This window comes from Homo sapiens, chromosome 10 (assembly GCF_000001405.40).
Source record: "Homo sapiens chromosome 10, GRCh38.p14 Primary Assembly".
Classification (NCBI taxonomy): domain Eukaryota; kingdom Metazoa; phylum Chordata; class Mammalia; order Primates; family Hominidae; genus Homo; species Homo sapiens.
The window spans coordinates 91,178,013-91,200,008 of NC_000010.11; the positions used below are offsets into that span (position 1 = coordinate 91,178,013).

Consider the following 21,996-nt stretch of genomic DNA (forward strand, 5'->3'; position numbering starts at 1 on the left):
GAGCTGTAGACTGGAGCTGTTCCTATTCAGTCATCTTGGAACTGTCCCTGGAAGTATTTTAATAACGATTGGTATAGCTGTACCAAAAGACACAGACAAAATGTTGACCCTGGCCATAACTGACTGCAATGTAGGCTGGGAAAAAACATTGGCATAACTGTACAGTATTATGAGATGGAAAAAAATAAGTTAGTGTACAATAGGACAGCCATAATTATATCAATAATGTCTAAAATTAATAAATCAAGACGGCAGTTTAAACATTTAAGAATATGCAATTAAATGTCAGAAGAAATTGCTAAAATTTTAAGTAGTTTGCCTTTGGGAGTGACTGGAGAGGTGAGGCAGGGTATTGCTGTTTCTCTTTCTTTTCTTTTCTTTTCTTTTTTTTTTTTGAGATAGGGTCTTGCTCTGTTGCCCAGGCTGGAGTGCAGTGGTGTGATTATAGCTCACAGCAGCCTTGACTTCCCAGGCTCAAGCAATACCCCCATCACAGCCTCCAAAGTAGCTGGAACCACAAGTGCAATTCACCACACCCGGCTAATTTTTAAAATTTTTGTAGAGACAGGGTTTCACCATGTTGTCCAGGCTGGTCTCAAACCCCTGGGCCAGCCAGTCCTCCCACCTCGGCCTCCCAAAGTGCTGGGATTACAGGTGTGAGCCCCTGCACCTGGCCTGCTGTTTCTCATTTTAAACGTAGTAGTACACTTTGAGTTTAAACATAATTTTCATGGGTTACTTTGATTAAAAATAGTAAAAAAAAAAATGTAATGATGATGAGTAGTTTGGAAAATGATTTACTTGTGTCCAGAGCCATTCCTTTCAATGGCAAAAACTGCAATTACTTTTGCACCAACGTAATACATGAAGCATTATTATTTGGAAGTTAGATTCATCCTCTACAACTGATTTCAGCACTCACTCTATCTCAACATCTTTTGGGGGAGCTTTTAGAAAATTCAAATGACTCTCCTATCTCAAGATTCTGACTTACTTGACTTTGGGTAAGCCCTAGGGAATTAGTAATTTTTAAAAGCTTGCTAGCTGCTTCTGATAAGGAGCTAGGGCTAATTCCTCTAGCCCAGGTAGATTAAACATCTTTGCTTGCTTCCTAAACATCTTTTGTATTATTCCCATCCTGTCCTCTCTCATTACTTTGGTTTCAAGTCATGTACTCTCTATCCTCAGATCTGAACTAGTGTGGTCTCTTTTAAGTCAGAGGAATAGGAGGAAAGCAAGGGAGAGACATGGGAGAGGTGAGTTAGATTACCCATGAATAATCAGAGTGGCTGTCAGGGAGCCAATATTTGTTTCTTTTTTAAAAAAAAATTAATCTTTTAAAAATTTATTTTAACTTTAGGGGTACAAGTGCAAGTTTGTTACATCAGTAAACTTGTGTCGTGGGGTTTGTTGTACAGATTATTTCACCATCCAGGAATTAAGCCTAGTACCCATTAGTTGTTTCTCCTGATCCTCTCTCTACTTCTACCCTCCACCCTCCAAAAGGACCCAGTGTGTGTTGTTTCCCTCTGTGTGTCCATATGTTCTCATCATTTAGCTCCCACTTAAAAGTGACAACATGTGGCGTTTGGTATTCTGTTCCTGTGTTAGTTTGCTAAGGATAATGGCCTCCAGCTCCAACCATGTCCCCACAAAGGACATGATCTTGTTCTTTCTTATGGCTGCATAGTATTCCATGGTGTGTATGTACCACTTTTTGTTTATCCAGTCTGTCATTGATGGGCATTTAGTTTGATTCCATGTCTTTGCTACTGTGAATAGTGCTGTGATAAACATATGCATGCATGTGTCTTTTTTGTAGAATTATTTATATTCCTTTGGGTATATACCCAGTAATGGGATTGCTGGGTCGAATGGTATTTCTATCTTTAGGTATTTGAGGAATCGCCATACTGTTTTCCATGGTGGCTGAACTAATTTACACCCCTACCAATAATATATAACATTTCTTTTTTTCCACAAACTCACCAGCACCTATTTTTTTTTACTTTTTAATAATAGCCATTCTGACTGGTGTGAGATGGTATCTCATTGTGGTTTTGATTTACATTTCTCTAATGATCAGTGATGTTGAGCTTTTTTTCATTACATTATTGGCGGCATGTATGTCTTCTTTTGAAATTTGTCTGTTCATGTTCTTTGCCCACTTTTTAATGGAGTGGTTTGTTTCTTTTCTTGTAAATTTAAGTTCCTTATAGATGCTGGATATTAGACATTTGTCAGATGCATAGGTTGCAAAAATTTTCTCCCATTCTGTAGGTTGTCTGTTTATTCTGCTGGTAGTTTCTTTTGCTGTACAGAAGCTCTTTAGTTTAATTAGATCCCACTTGTCAACTTTTGCTTTTGTTGCAGTTATTTTGGTGTCTTCATTATGAAATCTTTGCCCATGCCTATGCCCTGAATGATAGGTTGTCTTCCAGGGTTTTTATATTTTTTTGTTTTACATTTAAGCCTTTAACCCATCTTGAGTTAATTTTTGTATATTGTGTAAGGAAGGGGTCCAGTTTCAATCTTCTGCATATGGTTAGCCAGTTATCACAGCACCATTTATTTATGCTATTTATGAATAGGGAATCCTTTCCCCATTGCTTATTTTTGTCAGATTTGTCAAAGATTGGATAGTTGTAGGTGTGTGGTCTTATTTCTGGGTTCTCTATTATGTTCCATTGGTCTATGTGTCTGTTCTTATACCAGTACCATGCTGTTTTGGTTACTGTAGCCCTGTAGTATAGTTTGAAGTTGGGTAGCATGATGCCTCCAGCTTTGTTCTTTTTGCTTAGGATTGCCTTGGCTATTCAGGCTCTTTTTTGGTTCCATGTGAATTTTAAAATAGTTTCTTCTAGTTCTGTGAAGAATGTCAATGGTAGTTTAATAGAAATAGCATTGAATCTATAAATTGCTTTGGGCAGTATGGCCATTTTCACAATATTGATTCTTCCTATCTATGAGCATGGAATGTTTTTCAATTTGTGTCATCTCTGATTTTTTTAAGCAGTGGTTTGTTGTTCTCCTTGTAGAGATCTTTCACCTCCCTAGTTAGCTGTATTTTTAGCTATTTTATTATTTTTATGGCAATTGTGCATGGGAGTTCATTTGTGATTTGGCTCTTGGCCTGACCCTTGTTGGTATATAGGAATTTGATTTTAGGCTAGTGATTTTTGCATATTGATTTTGTATTCTGAGGTTTGCTGAAGTTATTTGTCAGCTTGAGAAGCTTTGGGGCTGAAACAATGGGGTTTTCTAGATATAGGATCCTGTCATCTAAAAACAGGGATAGTTTGACTTCCTCTTTTCCTATTTGAATGCACTTTATTTCTTTCGGTTGTCTAATTGCCCTGGCCGGAACTTTGAATACTATGTTGAATAGGAGTAGCCAGACAGGGCATCCTTGTCTTGTGCCAGTTTTCAAGGGGAATGCTTCCATCTTTTGCTCATTCAGTATGATGTTGGCTGTGGGTTTGTCATATATCACTTTTATTATTATTTTGAGGTATGTTCCTTCAATACCTAGTTTATGGAGAGTTTTAAACATGAATGGATGTTGAATTTTATTGAAAGCCTTTTCTGCATCTATTGAGTTAATTGTGGTTTTTGTCTTTAGTTTGTGTTTAGTTCTGTTTATGTGATAAATTACACTTACTGATTTGTGTATGTTGAACCAACCTTGCATCCCGGGGATGAAGACCACTTGATGGTGGCAGATAAGCTTTCTGATGTGCTGCTGGATTTGGTTTGCCAATATTTTGTTGAGGATTTTTGCATCAATGTTCATCAGGGATACTGGCCTGAATTCCTTTTCTGTTGTATTTCTGCTGGGTTTTGGTAGCAGAATGATGCTGGCCTCATAGAATGAATTAGGGAGGAGTCTCTCCTTTTCAGTTTTTTGGAATATTTCCAGTAGGAATGGTAGCAGCTCTTCTTTGTACAATTTCAGAACTCATTATTGGTCTGTTCAGGAATTCAGTTTCTTCCTAGTTCAGTCTTTGGAGGGTGTATGTGTCCAGAAATTTATCAATTTTTTCTAGATTTTCTAGTTTATAAGCATAAAGGTGTTTATAATATTCGCTGATGGTTGTTTGTATTTCTGTGAGGTCAGCGGTAATGTCCCCCTTATCATTTCTGATTGTGTTTGTTTGACCTTTTCAATTTTTTGGAATAGTTCCCGTAGGAATGGTCGCAGCTCTTCTTTGTACAATTTCAGAACTCGTTATTGGTTTGTTCAGGGATTCAGTTTCTTCCTGGTTCAGTCTTCGGAGGGTGTATGGGTCCAGGAATTTATCAATTTCTTCTAGATTTTTTAGTTTATAAGCATAGAGGTGTTTATAATATTCTCTGATGGTTGTTTGTATTTCTGTGAGGTCAGTGGTAGTGCCCTCCTTATCATTTCTGATTGTGTTTGTTTGAATCTTCTTTATTAGTTTAGCTAGTTGTCTATATATTTTATTATTTTTTTCAAAAGCAAGCTCCTGGATTCATTGATCTTTTCAATGGTTTTTCATGTCACGATCTCCTTTAGTTCAGCTCTGATTTTTGTTATTTCTTGTCTTCTAGCTTTGGGATTTGTTCCCTCTTGGTTCTCCAGTTCTTTTAGTTGTGATGTTAAGTTGTTAACCTGAGATCTTTCTAACTTTTTGATATGGGCATTTAGTGCTATAAATTTCCCTCTTAACACTGCCTTAGCAGTGTCCTGGAGACTCTGTTACATTGTATCTTTGCTTTCATTAGTTTCAAAGAACTTGATTTCTGCCTTAATTTCATTATTTGAGATTCTGGTACATTGTATCTTTGCTGTCATTAGTTTCAAGTAACTTCTTGATTTCTGACTTAATTTCATTATTTACTCCAAAGTAATTCAGGAGCAGGTTATTCAATTTCCATGCAATTGTATGGTTTTGAGTGAATTTCTTAGTCTTGAGTTCTAATTTGATTGTGCTGTGGTCCAAGAGACTGTTTGTTACTATTTCAGTTCTTTTGCTTTTGCTGAAGAGTGTTTTACTTCCGATTATATGATCAATTTTAAGAGTACATGTTTTGTGGCAATGAGAAGAATGTATATTCTGTGATCCAGTGTTGTGTATATATTTGATCCAGTGCTGAGTTCAGGTCCTGAGTATCTTTGTTAATTTTCTGTCTCAATGATCTAATATTGTCAGTGGGGTGTTAAAGTCTCCCACTATTATTGTGTGGGAGTCTTAAGTTTCTATTAGGGTCTCTAAGAACTTGCTTTATGAATCTGGGTGTTCCTGTGTTGGGTATATATATATTTAGAATAGTTAGATCTTGTTGAATTGAACCCTTTACCATTATGTAATGCCCTTTGTCTTTTTTAATCTTTGTTGTTTTAAAGTCTGTTTTGGCAGAAATTGAGATTGCAACCTCTGCTTTTTTTTTTTCCTCCATCCTTTTATTTTGAGTCTATGTGTGTCTCTCCATGTGAGGTAGGTCTCTTGAATATAGCACATCGATGAATTTTGACTCTTTCTCCAGCTTGCCATTCTGTGTCTTTTAATTGGGGCATTTAGCCCATTTGCATTTAAGGTTAGTATTGATATGTGAGGATCTGATCCTGTCATCATGATGTTAGCTGATTATTTTGCAGACATGTTTATGTAGTTCCCGTATAGTGTCACTGGTCTGTGTACTTCAGTGTGTTTCTGTAGTGGCTGGTAATAGTCCTTCTTTGCCATATGTAGTGTGTCCTTCAGGAGTCTTGTAAGGCAGGTCTGGTGGTAATGAATTCCCTTAGCATTTGCTTGTCTGAAAGAATCTATTTCTCCTTTGCTTGAAGCTTAGTTTGGCTGGATATGAAATTCTGGGTTGGAATTTCTTTTCTTTAAGAATGTTGAATATTGGCCCCCAATCTCTTCTGGCTTGTAGGGTTTCTGCTGAGAGGTCCATTATTAGTCTGATTGTCTTCCCTTTGAAAGTGACCTGGCCTTTCTTTCTCACTGTCTTTAATATTTTTTCTTCGTTTCGACCTTGGATAATCTGATGATTATGTGTCTTGGGGATGTTCTTCTCATGGAGTATCTTACTGGGGTTCTCTGCATTTCCTGAATTTGAAGGTTGGCCTGTCTAGCTAGGTTGGGTACATTCTCATGGATGATATCCTAAAATATGTTTTCCAAATTGGTTCCATTCTCCTCATCTCTTTCAGGTATACCAGTCAGTGGTAGATTCAGTCTCTACATAATCCCATATTTCTTGGAGGTTTTGTTCATTTCTTTTCATTCTTTTTTTCTCTATTCTTCTCTGCCTGTCTTATTTCAGAAACACAGTCTTTAAGCTCTGAGATTCCTCTACGTGGTCTATTCTGATATTAATACTTTTTATTCCGTTATGAAATCCTTGTAGTGTGTTTTTTGTCTCTGTCAGGTTGGTTACAGTACTCTCTACTGGCTGTTTTGTCTGTCAGCTCCTGCAATGTTTTAGCGTGATTTTTAGCTTCCTTGCTTGGGTTATAATGTACTCCTTTAGCTCAGAAAGTTTGGTTTTATCCATATTCTGAATTCTACTTCTGTCATTTCAGCCATGTTGTCCTCAGCCCAGTTCTGAACACTTGCTGGAGAGGTGATACAGTCATTTGGAGGAAAGAGGGCACTCTGGCTTTTTGAGTTTTCAGTGTTCTTGTGTTGATTCTTTCTCATCTTTGTGGGCTTATCTACCTTCAGTATTTGAGGTTGCTGTTTTGTTTTTTTTTTCCTATTTTTAAAATCTGGCTACTTTTCTGTAGTGCTGCTATGGTTTGCTAGGGGTCTGCTCCAGTCCCTAGTGGCCTTGGATTTTTCAGTATCTGGAGGTATCACCAGTGAAGGCTACAAAGCAACAAAGATGGCAGTGTACCCCTTCCTGTGGGAGTCCCATCCCAGGGAGTTATGGACCTGTTGCCAGCCTGAATGCAGCGGTAGGAGGTAGCTGGAGACCCCAGTTGTGAGGTCTCACCCAGTCAGGAGGAACAACACAGGGGACCTGCTTACAGAAGCAGTTTGGCCACATTTTTTAGAACAGCTGTACTGTGCTAGGGGTACCCCCTCTGCCCCCAGTTGGCTTGGGCTCTCCAAGCATGAAGCTGGAACAGCTAAGTCACCCAGACAGCAAAGATGGTGGCCCACCCCTCCTTCTGGGAACTCTCTCCCAGGAGGTTCTTAAATCTCTGTCAGCCAGAAAACACCAGTGGGGTGGCTGGAGGCCTGGGTTGGGAGGTCCCACCCAGTGAGGAGGAATGGATCCGGGATTCACTTAAAGAAGCAGTCTGGCCATGTTTTGGTAGAGCAGCTGTGCTGTGCTGGGGGATCCCTTCTGCCCCCGTGGGTTTGGACTCTCCAAAGCCCACAGGCTGGAACAGGAAAGATGGCAGCCACCCCTTCCCCCAGGAACTGTGTCACAGCTCCATGCAACACTGTTGTCCGTGCCTGGCTGGAATTCCAAGCCAGTGTGTCATCCTGTGAGGTGCCGTGGAAGTGAGGCCCGCTGACCATCACTGCTGAGCCCCATGGATTCAACCTCTTTCCTAGGGGTATGTATGGAGGTCTAACCTCCCTCTTTGCCTGAGTTGTAGTTACTTTTGCCAGGAAGCCCAGAGCTGGATTATGTAAAGCTCCTGGGTTTCTGTGTATGCCTGAGTGGCTGCTCTGCCAAGACTCCACATAGTTCTGTGTGTCGGACTGAAGGCCCTAGTGGAGTGGTTTCATGAAGGGTTCTCCTGACCCGGGAGTTGCAAAGATTGGTGGGGCAAGTGTGGTTTCCTTGGGTCACACATTCACTCCCTGCTTCCCTGGGCAGGGGAGATTCCCTTGACTCCGTGTGGCTCCCTGGTGGGCCATCATTTTGCCTTGCTTTTCTCTGTTCTCTGTGGGTCAGGTTGTTTCCTTGATTAGTCCCAATGCAGGTACCTGGATGTTTCAATTGAAAGTGCTGTATTTACTCGCCCCTTTCATTCCTGTCTTTGAGAGCCACGCACCCTAGCTGCTTCTAGTCAGCCATCTTGGTCGCTCCCTGCTTCAATATTTATTTCTTTATGTTTTGCAGACAGTAGTTAAATTGATGACATCTTGAATTTCCTGTGCAGTAATTTTAGAGCTCAAGTTCAAGTAAATTTTAACTTAAAATCATTTTGGTATTTCTTTACTTTTAACATTACCTCTTGGGCTAAATCAGCTGTACCCTCAGGTTGCCCTCAAGTTATTTGATCTCACCTGGATTTTGCCCCGACTCTCACAGCTGTGGTGTACCAGGCGTTCATTCACCAGTAGCAGTATTGCCAGGTTGCAACTGGGATCACCAGCAGTTTTCATAGCTCACTAGTTGTCTATGGCGAGAATTCTTAGGTGATTAGCAAGCAAGAGATGAAGGAATATAAAAGCTGCATGATTTCACAAGGTTGGAAGTCTTGTTGCATTGAACTTTCAATGAAAGAAATTTTGTATACTTGAAAGAAATGTTTATTGTGTAGATGAAATAAATATTTTAGACCTCAGGGAAAAACTTCATATATATATGTGTGTGTGTGTATATATATATATATATGTGTGTGTGTGTATATATATGTGTGTGTATATATATGTGTATATATACACACATATATATGTAACAAATTAAAATGTTTAAAATGTTAAGTTACAAAGTTTCTTTTGTACCTTTCACCAGTTCCATCCCGGGCCTCCCTAGATTCAACTAGGGATGTACTAGTAACTGTTTCACTTCAAGCCAATGCCCTGCTCCGTATATTGATAGGACTTGCCTCTAACATTCTTTCCACGTATAGGGAGCTGTCCCAGCTGGTTTCTGGGGGATTGCTTTACATTTATATACATTTATACTGCTGGATCAGTGTAATCTTCAAGGTGAGGGTTTGCTTCATCTTATGAGTGTCATTTAGAACTTGCCCACACAATGCAAGACCAGTGAAAATCGCTAGGCCAGTGATTCTCATACTTGAATGTGCACAGAAATACTGGGAATGGTATTACATTGCAGATTCTGGTTTAGTTAGTCTCAGGTGGGGTCTGAGATTCTGCATTTCTGAGTTTCCCAGGAGATGCAACTGGTCTGCAGACCACATTAGAGAAGCTTCAGGCTAGTAGTTCTCAACCCTGGTTTCATATTAGAATTATCTGAGGACTTGTAAAAAATACTGGTATCTGGGACCTATCTATAGTGATTCGGATTTAATTGTTCTAGGATGGGGCCTCAGCATGATATATAGATATATAAGATAGATATATAAGATTTGACACTAATGTGCAAATCGGTTTGGGAACCACTGTTACAAGCTCTGCACACTTTTGCTGTGATAGATAAAGATCTTCATGTGCAGATTTTGTAGTGATCTGGCAGGCACCTTACTGAGCTTTTATGATGTGAATGCACCTGCTTTGTGGATACAGTCCATAGAGAAGGGATTCCTCTTCACTACTAGATTCCCAGAGATGAGGTAGAGGTCGCTATCAGAGAAGCACACCTAAGGAAAAACAAATAGTCTTTTCATTAAAAAAAACAAAAACAAAAACCCAGCTATCGCTTGATATAGGAAAGAGGTTTGAAGTGATAAATGAATGCAAAGTTGGTATCTCTTGATTCATGGGGTCCTTCTGTTTTCTGCATCCTTTCAGTAAGAGATCATGGGGAAAGTGTATTATATACACAACTTCAATGCTTCATGTTTTCTTCAAAGAAGTCTATATATTTACTTCTTACTATCTGTGTGTATATGTTTACCTATAAATATATGTACCTGAAAAATGTCTGTGTAGCCAGAATTCTAGTATTTATTTTTCCTTTGCTAATTATTTAGAAAAAACTTAGAGTATTTTCTATACAGTTACTTGTCCTAAAAACTAAGTGACTTGACATCTTGATGAAAGAACTGTTGTTATTCCTAAGTTCTTTCCATGCTAATGGCAGATGGATGATTCTTTTTTTTTTTATTTTAAACTTTTAATTTTTTTAAATTATTATTATACTTTTAAGTTTTAGGGTACATGTGCACAATGTGCAGGTTAGTTACATATGTATACATGTGCCATGCTGGTGTGCTGCACCCGTTAACTCCCCCGAACAGGAACAGCTCCGGTCTACAGCTCCCAGTGTGAGTGACGCAGAAGACGGGTGATTTCTGCATTTCCATCTGAGGTACTGGGTTCATCTCACTAGGGAGTACCAGACAGTGGGCGCAGGACAGTGGGTGCAGCGCACCATGCGCGAGCTGAAGCAGGGCTAGGCATTGCCTCACTCGGGAAGCGCAAGGGGTCAGGGAGTTCCCTTTCCTGGTCAAGGAAAGGGGTGACAGACAGTACCTGGAAAAGCAGATGGATGATTCTATTGGCTCTAAAATCATAGGCTTTAGTTCAGTTCAAATGTTGTTTTATTATTATTACAATGAAGACCCTAGAAGCAGAAAATACAATTTTATGTATATTAAAATTATGCTAATTGCAATTTCTTAGGAACAATAAACTTTAAAACCAGTGGATTAAAATTAAATATAATTTTGCTGCTAAGAAATTGGAATCTTCTCCCTTATGTACCTACTATTTTATTATAAAGTAGACTTTGATTTTATTTCCTTAATGTTATCTTGTCTACTTCATGGCCACCGCCTTCATTTGGATTCTCATTCACGTTCATTTCCTCACTGACCCTCACTACCTCCCCTCTTGCCCCTTAGGAATCTTCTGCCAGAGTCCTCTGTTATGGAGGTAGTAGGTCTTTGGCTCCTTGTCTGAGAAAAAAGTCCAGATCTACAGAGTGTCATTTGGAGCCTGTTGACCTACCCAACCTTTTTTCCACCCTTGTCACTTGTCATTTCCCTAGATAGCAGTTTATTCATTCCTTAGCTGAGATGGAGCATCAGGAAAGAAATATTGGAGGCTTGAAGAGAAAGGTAAAGAGGCATACAGAGTGGTTTGGGAGAAAGGGAGAGTAGATAGCACAAGGGAAATGAAGTGTGATTGCTGGGCAGCATTTAAGGTCTACTGAGATAGGTGATTATGGATTTAAAGTAAGATTAGCTAGCATGTGGCTGCAGGAATACAGGTGTGGAGAAGGTGGAGTCTTGCATTCTGCCAGGGCTGACTAAGACATTCCACTTCTCATCTGTGCTTTTGCATAATGGCCATGGCCTCCATCTGAAACACATTCCTTCTCTTCTTTGCCTGGCAAAATCTTCTTTTACAACCCTGATTGATAATTTTCTCCTTTTTCCAGACATCCTCTCTTGACCCTCATGATTCTTGGTCATCTCCCTGTGTTCTGTCCCCATTTTTCCATGCCATGAAAGGTGTCTGTTCATACCTATCTCCACTAGACAGTGCACTCAGCAAAGGCAGGGAGGTGATGTTTTGAAATCCCAGTTTACAACATGGTGCCTGGTACATAGTAGACACACATAATAATATATGCTAGATAAATGAATATAAGATTTCTCTGTAAATTATTGAGAATCTACACTTGCTGTTTGAGGTTCAAGATGAATTCTACTTAGTAATATATGACATAAAAATTGTATTGCTTTAATTTCTATTCTAATATACCCTTACCAAATATCCAAGCTGATAAGATCTTTCCATATATACATACATATCTACATGAAAATGGAAGAAAGTTAAAAAGACCAAAGAATATACATAAATATTAAATATCTAGGATAACACACTTCATAGAGCCCTGCACAATGCATGGGGTTTATCTGTTCTTTTTCGCTTAGGCCTTCTTGCCTGGTGGGAAACAGTTAAAATCCTAAGAAGCATCTGAGCCAGTATTGAGCACATTAATATTTTCATATTGAACACGTCTATATTTTCAAGTTGCACTGAAGTTATGAGTATAAAAATGTAGTTTTGAAAGGTTTTCCTCAACCATGTGGAAACATACGGAGATTTTAACTGCTGAAACAATTTCAAATAGTTTACAAATCAATAAAAGCCAGACAGAAATTAAAGTGTATCTTTTTTCCTGAGGTTAATATCTTAGTTTGTTTGTGCTGCTACAACAAAGCACCACAAACTGTATGGTTTATATACAATAGAAATTTATTTCTCACTGTTTTTAAGGTTGGAAAACCCAACATCAAGGCATGGGCAGATTGGTCTCTGGTGAGGACCCACTTCCTGGTTTCCAGGTGGCACCTGATCCCTGTGACCTCACATAGTGGAAGGGACTCGCTGGCTTTCTGACATCTCTTTTATAAGGGCACTAACCCCAATCATGTTCTCATGATCCAGTCACCTTCCAAAGGTCTGACCTCTTAATCCCATCACCTTGGGGGTTAAGATTTCAACATATGAATTTTGGGGGAATTCAAACATTCAGACCACAGCAGTAAGTGATTTCACATTTTTCCTTAGGAGTGAGGAGACTTGAGTTCTGGTTGTGATGTGTCGCTAAAGGTCTGTGGTGTCAGATAATCTGCCCCACCTCTCTAAGCTTTAGTTTCCCCATGTATAAAACATGAGATTTGGTCTAAATTATTACCAAGGTCATTTTGAATCATCTGTGATTCTGGAAAGTTATGAAACACAGCCTGTAACCATGGTGAGGAAAGTTGATTGGTGGCTCCAGAAATAGACTTATTTTCTCCTTCTGTGTAACATTGATGCTCTCCCATTGAATCATTCTCTGGATGTTGCCTAAATAAACCAATTTCTTGATTTTTTTCCCCTTAATGCTAAGTGCTCAAAAGTGAATGAAAGATTGTCTTAAATACCAAACAAATGAGCTGTTGCTTTAAATGTAGATCTGGATTATTGTGCTGGTTTTCATTCCTGTTATAGGTATTCAAAAAGCAGAAGGTTGTGATGTGGTAAATTTAGAAACTATTTCACATCAGTTCCTGCTGTCTTTTGTGTTTGTGTGAGAACCCTATTCAAAATATATCTTATTTATTCTTCCCTTAAAATATGCTTCACTTCATTTTTGCCTTTCTGCTGGCAACGAGTCCAGATCTATAAATACTTACAGGTTTTGTCAAAATCCTTACGCTGACAGTTACAGTAGTTCTCCCTGATCCACAGGGAACATATTCCAAGGCCCCTAGTGGGTGCCTGATACCATGGATAATACTGAACCCTATGTATGTTATATTTTGTTCCTGTGTATACATACATATGATAAAGTTTAATTTACAAATTAGGCACAGTAAAAGATTAACAACAACAACAACTAATAAAATAGAACTGGTATAACAATATGCAAGCATCACTACTCTTATGCTTTGGGGCCATTAAGTAAAATAAGGGTTAGTTGAACACAAGCACTGTGATGCTGCAACAGTCAATCTGATAACTGAGATGGCTACTGAGTGACTAAGAATGGTGGCACAGACAGCATGGGTACACTGGACAAAGGGATGATTCACCACAGAGAGGGACCACATGAGATATCATCACACTACTCAGATGGCACACAATTTAAAACTTATGAATTGTTTATTTCTGGAACTTTCCATTTAATATTTTTGGACTGAAGTTGACCATGGGTAACTGAAACCACAGAAAGCAAACCCCAGATAAGAAGGGAGTACTGCACTTTTTCCTACTAACATGTAGGTAATCTAGTCAGACACAATTGTGTTTTACCCCATAAGCTTTTTGGTTTCTTGGTGTGTGTTATCATAAGCTTGTCCTCAGTACAGTGATGTCCTATGTAGCCCTCTGAGAATCACTCTGATTGCAAGATCTTTGGCCATGCTTCTTTGGGATTGTCCCCTGTCCAGAACACTCCACCCAAAATGAGACATTTTGACCTAGTTGGGACAAGTACAAGGCTGGTAGGCAAAGTCTCACTGTCTGTGAGCATTCATGTTGGATCCAGCCCTTTGAAGTAGAGAATCAGCTCATTAAGTGAATATTTTAAATGCTTAAAGGAATAACAGAAATTTAATTTTCACTCTCTCTCCTGTAGTAATCTTTATCCAAAGTATCACATCACTGGTGAGCTGTGAGATTAGACAAGTTATTTACCCTCTCTGAGCCTCAGGTTCCTCCTCTATAAAGTTTGGATTTTATTTCTAATGTGATTTTGGCTCCAAAATTATTTTTTTTCTTTATAGTTTTGTCATCCTCTTTCCAGCCTTAAACTGGCTGAAGGCAATTAGTAGTCTTAAACTTAAGCAAGTCTCACTCATTTCTGATAGTACTTCCTTAAACAAAAATGGTTCAGTTTTCCACCCCAGAGGCATTTGTGGAATTTTTTTAAAAAAGCATTTATGACTATTTTAGTTTATTTTTCTATACATTTGAGACAAGATTAACTCAACAACTCAAGGTGTTTTGCTCGTATACCTGGATAATAGTCTAAAAATGAAGCATTCTTATTTTCATAAAAACAATAATTAAATACATTGCTGTGAGTCTTCATTAATAAGAACTAAGCTAGTCAGATGCTATTGACCACAGCCATGGGAAAATATTAAGAAAGCAATTCTTTGGTATTTATCCATCTTGCTCATCGTCAATTAAGAATCTTTATTCTAATTAGCATTTTCAAACAGTTGAAAGTAAAAATAACCCCATGGAAAGATAAGTTCATTTATTTATTCAAGAAATACCTATTGCTTACCAACCAGATAGTCTTTGGAATATCAATAAACAAAACAATGATTCTTGATCTAATGGAGTCTGTTTTCTATCAGGAAACGACATACAATAAAACAGGCATAGTAAACATTTATTATATGGTTTGTTATAAGGTGGTAAGAGCAGTGGTGGAAAAATTTTAAAATAGAGCACAGAAAGGAGAAATCAAAAGTGGGTAGGAAGAAGGGAGCTGGGTTGTAGTATAAATACCATGGTCAGGAAAGGAGATGTGGCAGGCAGAGTGACCCCTAAAAGTCCATACCCTAATCCTTGGGACCTGTAAATATTTAGGTTAAATTACATGGCAAAAGGGACTTTCCAGACCTAATTATGGTTACAAATATTAAAATATAGAGGTTAACCTGGATTATCTGGGTGGCCCAATCTAATCAATAAGCCCTTGAAAGTCAAGAAATTATACTGGCTAGAGTTGGAGAGTTGTGGCCACAGTTGGAATGATCCAAAATGTGAGAGAGACTCCACCCACCCATGCTGAGAGTGCATGGCAAACGCAAGAAGGAAGGCATGTAGCCTTGAAGAGCAAAGAATGGCCTCCAATGAAATGGGGCATCAGTCCTGCAGCTGCAAGAAACTGAATCCAGCCAAAGACCCAAAGGAGCTTGGAAGGAGATCCATCCCTAGAGCCTCCAAAAGGAATACATCCCTGCTGTCACTTGGATTCTGGCCTTGTGAGACTAAGTAGAGGACCCAGCTCAGCCAAATTGTACTTAGACTTCTAACCTACACAACTGTGAGATGCTAAGTGGGTATTGTTTTTAAGCTACTTCATTAGTGGTAATTTGTCATGGCAGCAATAGAAAACTAAAAGGGATGGGGGGGTGGGACATTAAGCTGATAGTGGAGTAAGAATGTGTTCTAGACAGAGAGAACAGTGACAGCCAAGTCCTAAGGGGAGGTACACCTGCGTGTTTGAGGGGTGGCGAGGGGTAGTTGGAGGGGAGAGAGCAGGGGGATGAGTAGGAGATAGGGTCGGAAAGGCCCTCCACCCTGGATGGAGGGTGGAGACCATGAAGGGCTTTGGCTTTTGTTCCAAGTGAGCTAGGGAGTCATTGCAGCATTTTGATCACAGAAGCAATATAATTTGATGTAATTTTTTAAAGGATCATGCTTAAACTGGCTGAAGGCTGCTCAGAAAATAGACTCTAGTAGACTGTAAAGAGGAAGGGGAGAAGCAGGGAGACCAATTAGGAAGTGATAGCAGGAATCCTAATATGAGAGGATGATGGCTTAGACCAGCAGTAGTGGAGATGTTGAGAAGTGATCAGATTCTAGATATGTGTTAAAGACGAAGTCCATTTCTTTGTGACTTAGATTTGGGATGTAAGAGAGAGAGGAGTTTAGGATGATTCCTTGGGTTCAGGCCTGAATAGCTAGAAAAATGGAGTTGTTATCAACCAAGATGCAGAAAACTTTGGGTGGAGAGATCTGTGGTGGAGGGAGAATTGGAGGTCAGCTTGGACATACTGAGTGTGACATGTCTGTTAAACATCCAGTTAAAGATGCAGAGTGTGGTAGGCAGAATAATGGCCTCTAAAGATGTTCATCCTAATCCCCAGAAAATGTGAATGTGTCACTTTAGGGAGCCAGAGGGACATTGCACATGTGATGGTTAAGATAACAACTTTGAGATGGAGAGATGATCCTAGATTATCTGGTGGGCCCAACCTAGTCACAGAAGTCCTTAGAAGTAGAGTATCTTTCCCATGGTGGTCAGAGGCTGAGGTGACTACGGGAGAATGGCCAGAGAGATGCAAGGTTGCTGGATTTGAAGATGGAGGAAGGGGGCCACTGGCCAAGGAATGTGGGTGGCTGCTAGAAGGTGGAAATGGCAAGGAAACAAATTCTCCCCTATAACCTCAAGAAGGGAACACAACCCTGCAAACCCTTGATTTTTGCCCAGGGAGATGGATATCTGACCTGCAGAGCTATAAGATAATACATTTGTGTTGTTTTCAGCCACTAAGTTTGTCATAATTTGTTATCACAGCAATATAAAATGAATACACAGAGTAAGCAGTTGGATATGAGTCTGGAGGTGAGGAGAAAAAGGTCTCGAATTCAAAAGCATAGAGATGGTTTAAAGCCACAGACTGAATGAGATCACCAAGAGCATAAGTAGAGATAGAGAAGAGAAGAGGATCAAGGTGGGGGTCAAGAGAACTTGTATTGTCCTCATTTTTAAAAAAGATAGTATTAAGGATATGTTTGTGTGCTAATGAGAGCTGTCCCTCAGAGACCAAAAGTTGATGATATAAGGGAAAGAAAAGAGTTTCTGGGGTGTTATCCTCAAGTAGGGCAATAAAGATGAGATGCAGACCATGTGTGGGGGCATTTGTGATTCACTATGGTGAAAGCAGACAGTATAGGGGGAGTAGATGTGGTGAGAGTGTGTGTGAGTTCTCTTCTGATGACTCAGTTTTCTCAGTGGAATAGGAAGCAGCTGAGAGTGAGGATGGGGAAGGTGGTTTGAGGGTTTAAGAGAGAGAAAAGATGAGAAATAGTCCATCGGGAAATTGGGAGATTAGTAGAAGAGGGTCACATAGATTGCCTGCAGCATTAAAGGCCCACTTAAAGTTTGTGGTTATGAATTTAAAGGAGTAAATGCCACCATACACCGTTGAAAAAAGTGCCTCTGAACATTAGCTATCACCTCCTTCAAAAAAAAAAAAGTCAAATATTAAAAGAAAATTTAGGGTGGAATTAGACAGGAAAAGCCCAGTATTGTTATCCTTTCTATCCATTGTCTAGACTCCTAGAAGATCACTTGCCTTAGAGGGTTAATAATATTCTTAAATAATTGAATATAAATCATATGTATATATATGCATATATATATATGCATGCATATATATATATATAGAGAGAGAGAGAGAGAGAGAGACGCAGGGTCTCTGTCACTCAGACGGGAGTGCAGTGGTGCAGTCACGGCTCACTGCAGCCTTGGCCTCCTGGCCTCAAGTAATCCTCCACCTCATTTTTTAATTTTTTTGTAGAGATGAGGTTCTCACTGTGTTACCCAGGCTAGTCTCGAACTCCTGGGCTCAAGCAATCCTCCTGCTTTGGCCTCCCAGTGTTGGGATTACAGGCATGAGCCACCATGCCTGGCCTAAATCATATTTTTTTTAATGAAATTTAAATGCTATCTTAGACTGGTTCTTTAAAGTAGCAGAGCCTAGACAGGGGCTTAGGGGCAATTAGTTTATTTTGAGGAATAATCCCAAAGAACAGCATTTGTGACTGGTAAGAGTTAATAGGGAACAAAGGAAACCCAATCCAAGGTTTGTTCATCAACTTGGTCACTATTGTGGGCAACTGGGACCTGTTCCCACAGGACACCCTCCAAGAATGTGCCTTAAAATTGGCTACTAGATAAAATTGGGGTGGGTGGTATTCATTATTTGTCCACTTTCTCGCATCCCCTACTGGTCAAGTGTTGCCCCATGGGGTGTTAAGTCTATCATGGGACTGCACATTTGTCAGAATGGCTCACTGGTTTCCTACAGATATTTCACATGGTGGCAGAGAAGGCCCAGAGTAGAAAGCACATGTGACAGTGCAGCTGAAGTGACATTCTGTCAGCAAGGGCTAGAATGTCAGTGCCAAGAGAAGTGATGTGAGGCAAAGATGTCCAATGCAGAAATGTGCTAATTACAAAAGTATCTCCTAAAATTTTGGCCAATAAACCATAATCAGACCCTAATTTCAGTTTACAAAGTTCAAATGTTTATATATTAGACTTTCTAAGCAAGAAACCTGTGCATGCACATTGAAACACCCAAGCCCCACAGTATCATTGAAGCACAAAGCAGAGCTTTATGTCCCTTCTCACCCCAGGGCTTTTGCACTTGCTAAGCCTTCTTGTTCCTTTATTCTCCCAGATCTTTCCATGGCTTCACAGTCATGCAGGTTTCAGCAGAAATGTTGTATCTTCAGAGAAAGTTTCCTTACTACCTTGACAAAATATCCCACCCCATCCCCCACCTCTGACCCACACTTGCCCAGCTCCTTTCCATTACACTGATGTGTTTTTCCGTATTTCAGAGGGTGACAAATGCTATTTGTGTATTTCTTGTTGGTCCCCCTCACAGACTCTATGAGGGCAGCTTGACAATAGTATCCCCAGCACTGCATGGAAGGAGCCTTGTCTATACTTGTTGAATACCTGGTTATCATAATTCATCTTCTTTGTTTACTCTTTCCCTGTCATCTGGTTTCATCCCAGCCAGTGAAATCACTTACTAGATGAGGAACTGCTGAAGTACTGGGAATTCACTGGTGGACGAGATATAATCCCCACCTCAAGTCTCACAGTCTGTCAAGGAGCCTCCAGATTCTTTTTATCCTGTGCATGATGTGGAACCATTCAAATCTCTTTTTAAACAACAACAACAAAAAAAACATGATGTGGTTTTTATATTAGACGTGGACAAGTGAGCCAGTTAATGGCATGTCCTGGTTGTCTAAAGCTGAGTGACAAACTACTCCAAAACTTAACGATTTCAAACAACAGTAATCATTTATCTCTCACAGTTTCTGTGAGTCAGGAATTTGGAGTCTGGTCAGCAGCGTAGCCTGTCTCCATTCCGCTTGGCATCAGCAGGGGAGGCTCGAAGTATGGGGAAATCATCTGAAGGCTCGCGAGCTGACTGTCATGTCCTGGGTCTAGTCTGAGACTCCTGGGCTCCTCGGGCACGTCCCTCTCTCTATGTGACTGCTCCGTGATGTATTATTTTCTGAGGATGGCTGCACAGACGTATATCTTTGGAAAATAAAATCTCCACGGGCAGTGTTATCACAACTGCTGATGTTTATTGAGGATGAGGGCTTCCTGTGGTCCGGGCATTGTGCTAAGTGTTCTCCGTGTATTATATTATCTAACCCCTGATGAGTGGGATTTGTAAGGTAGCCCTTTTGTACAGTGAAGCAATGGGGACTCACCAAAGTTAAATGACTGGTATGAGCTCACAAAGAACTTTTGAATTTACTGGGGAAAGGGCTAATGGTGGTAGAGAGTGCGTGGGAGCCTTGCTTCCAGAGGGAAAATGGGTTTCTTTACTGACTCCTCTGTCAACCGGTACTGGACATCATCCTCTCCCACCATATTCCCCTTTTTCCTTCCTATTTTCAGTACACTTTCATTTTGTTATATTAAATTTCAATTATATTTTACCTGTGCCCTTTTCCATTGTGAACTTATTTAAAAACACTTATTTAAAAACAGACGTTCCAAGGAAATAGAAACAAGATTTTCTTTGTCTGGATTCATTTTGCCATTTAGGAAAGAGTTCTCCTGGTTCTCAAGATGTTTCATTCATTCAATAAATATTGATTATCTACTAAGTGCCAGACATTGGGGAAGTGAATCCACATCAGTGAACAAAACAGACAAAAAATACGTGCCCTCACAGAGCTTACATTCTAATGGGTAGAGATAAATATATAACATTTTTACTTTTCAGGCAATGAGAAATACTGTGGAGAAAAGTAAACCCAGAGAAGGGGAAGAGAAGTGTCAGATCACGTCATTTTATGTAATTATGTTTCCTTGGATTTCCGTCTCTCTAAATTGAACCCACAGTCCTTACAGTGGCCCAGAAGAGCCTGCGAGACCCATCCTGTCTCCCTGACCTCAGTCCCATCTGCTCATTCTCAACCACACTGGCCCCCTTGCTGGGGGAACCTTGGACATCAGCATCGTTCCTGCTTAGGACACTTTCCTTTCTCTCTGTGTAGTCACTCATCCTTTTGATAACTATAAGACCAACTTCCTTACCTGTTTTGTGGTCTTTACCCAGATGCCATCTTCTCACTAATGCCTTTGCTGACACCTTGTTTTAAATTTCAGTCACCCTCCTTACCTACCCCTAGTACCCCTACTCTCCTGGAGGTCACCCCAAACCACTATTTCAGCATGACCATTGGCAAAGCAGCATCACTGGCTTTCTCTCTAGAAGGCAGACCTGCCTACGGGCTGCAGAGTTCAAGCTTGTCTCTGTCCTTCGATCTTCTTGGGAGTTTTCTGTAAAGGCCCTGATTAGTGGCAGCACCATGGGAATCTCCCTGGCCTATTCAGTAGCATTGAATCAATCCTGAGTTTAATTAGCAGCAATTGCCAGGATGACGTTTTGGCCTTGTCATACCACGGGGCAGTACCTCTTAAGGATTGGATGTAGTTTTGTGCAATGAAGAGCCCTTCTTCAGATGGGTTATTTCTACCCCATGGTCTTTGGCTGAGTGTGTTTCGTATTAGTCTTCTTCCTTTTCTTGCCAGGCCATTCTTGTTCTCCTCCTCTCTCAGATGTTCTTCTCTTTCATCACCCTCTGTGATTGCCTCATCTGAGTTCTTAGCTTTCAGTTTCACTGGCCATGCTGACCTTTTATGTATTTATTGTTTTTGTTCAGAAACTGAAACTGCATCACATACATGCTGGTTTGTATCTGTCTCTCCCATTTTATTAAAAGCCTAGTTTTTTCTTCTGTGTCTCTACCACTTTCTGGGTCTTACAGCATTCAAGGGATCATCCCTGCTTCCACAAGCAAAGTTCCAGAGTCTGTGAATTTTATGACATAATAAACAAGTAGAAAATGTACTTGTCACAGGTTGGGTTCCCTGGGAAGCTGACTCCCAGGTGTAGTTTTGTATCCAGGATGTTTATTAGGGAATGCCCTTTGAAGGGTGGGAAGGCAGCAAGGGGGGCAGAAAAGGAGTTGAGCTGTAGAGCCAGCATGGCAGGAGCTCTGGAACTAGAATGACTCCTCTGAGTTGTCTTGACTTGGGCCAAGATGGCCAGGCCTTTATACTCCAGCATCCCTCAGTCCTTGCATCCTTGGGAAAGTGACCTTGGGCAAGGAGGATCTTTGCAGCTGAGGACATGCCTGCAAGAGGCCAACAACATCCCCATCAAGTGCAGCCCAAAGGCTTCTCTGAAGAGGGATCTGATCTCTGCTTCCCAGCATCTTCCACATTAATGTACGTGAAATTCAGCCACGGCTCCAAAATATGATGCAGTATTTTAGTTAAGAAGTAACATTCAAGGCTAGTTTTAGTTTAATACTGAAATTTGATTGAGTTCATTGAAATCCTAGGATGTTAGAGTCCAAAGAGGCCATAAAAATCCTTTATGCAACCCTCTTGTTTGACAGATAGGGAAGTGGAGTAAATAAACAAAGGAGAATAAATTTTAGTGTGGTTTCCCCAGAAACAGACCCCAAGACAAGAATTTGAGAGTAAGTGGTTTAGTTGAGAGGTTCTCCCAAGAAATATCAACAGGAAAGTAGAGAAGTGGGACAGGGAGGAAAAAGAAAGCAATAAAGGGTATAGTTTCAAGAGAATTACTGCTGTGGGCAACTGGAGCTCAATCCGTTTAAGGAACTCTAGGAA

At 40.1% G+C, this 21,996-nt stretch overlaps 1 protein-coding gene and 1 long non-coding RNA gene across 8 annotated transcripts in view; one reads left to right on the top strand and one right to left on the bottom strand.

Annotated features, from left to right (window-relative positions):
* The window catches only part of PCGF5 (polycomb group ring finger 5), a 128,119-nt gene that overhangs the window by 21,794 nt on the left and 84,329 nt on the right, over nucleotides 1-21,996 (top strand). The gene's annotated exons all lie outside the window — the stretch shown is intronic.
* LOC124902480 (uncharacterized) lies at nucleotides 1,256-20,466 on the bottom strand. Its single transcript, XR_007062240.1, has 3 exons — nucleotides 20,389-20,466; nucleotides 10,317-10,407; nucleotides 1,256-9,481 (listed from the first exon to the last, which is right to left on the bottom strand). It is a non-coding gene; the product is annotated as an uncharacterized LOC124902480 (long non-coding RNA).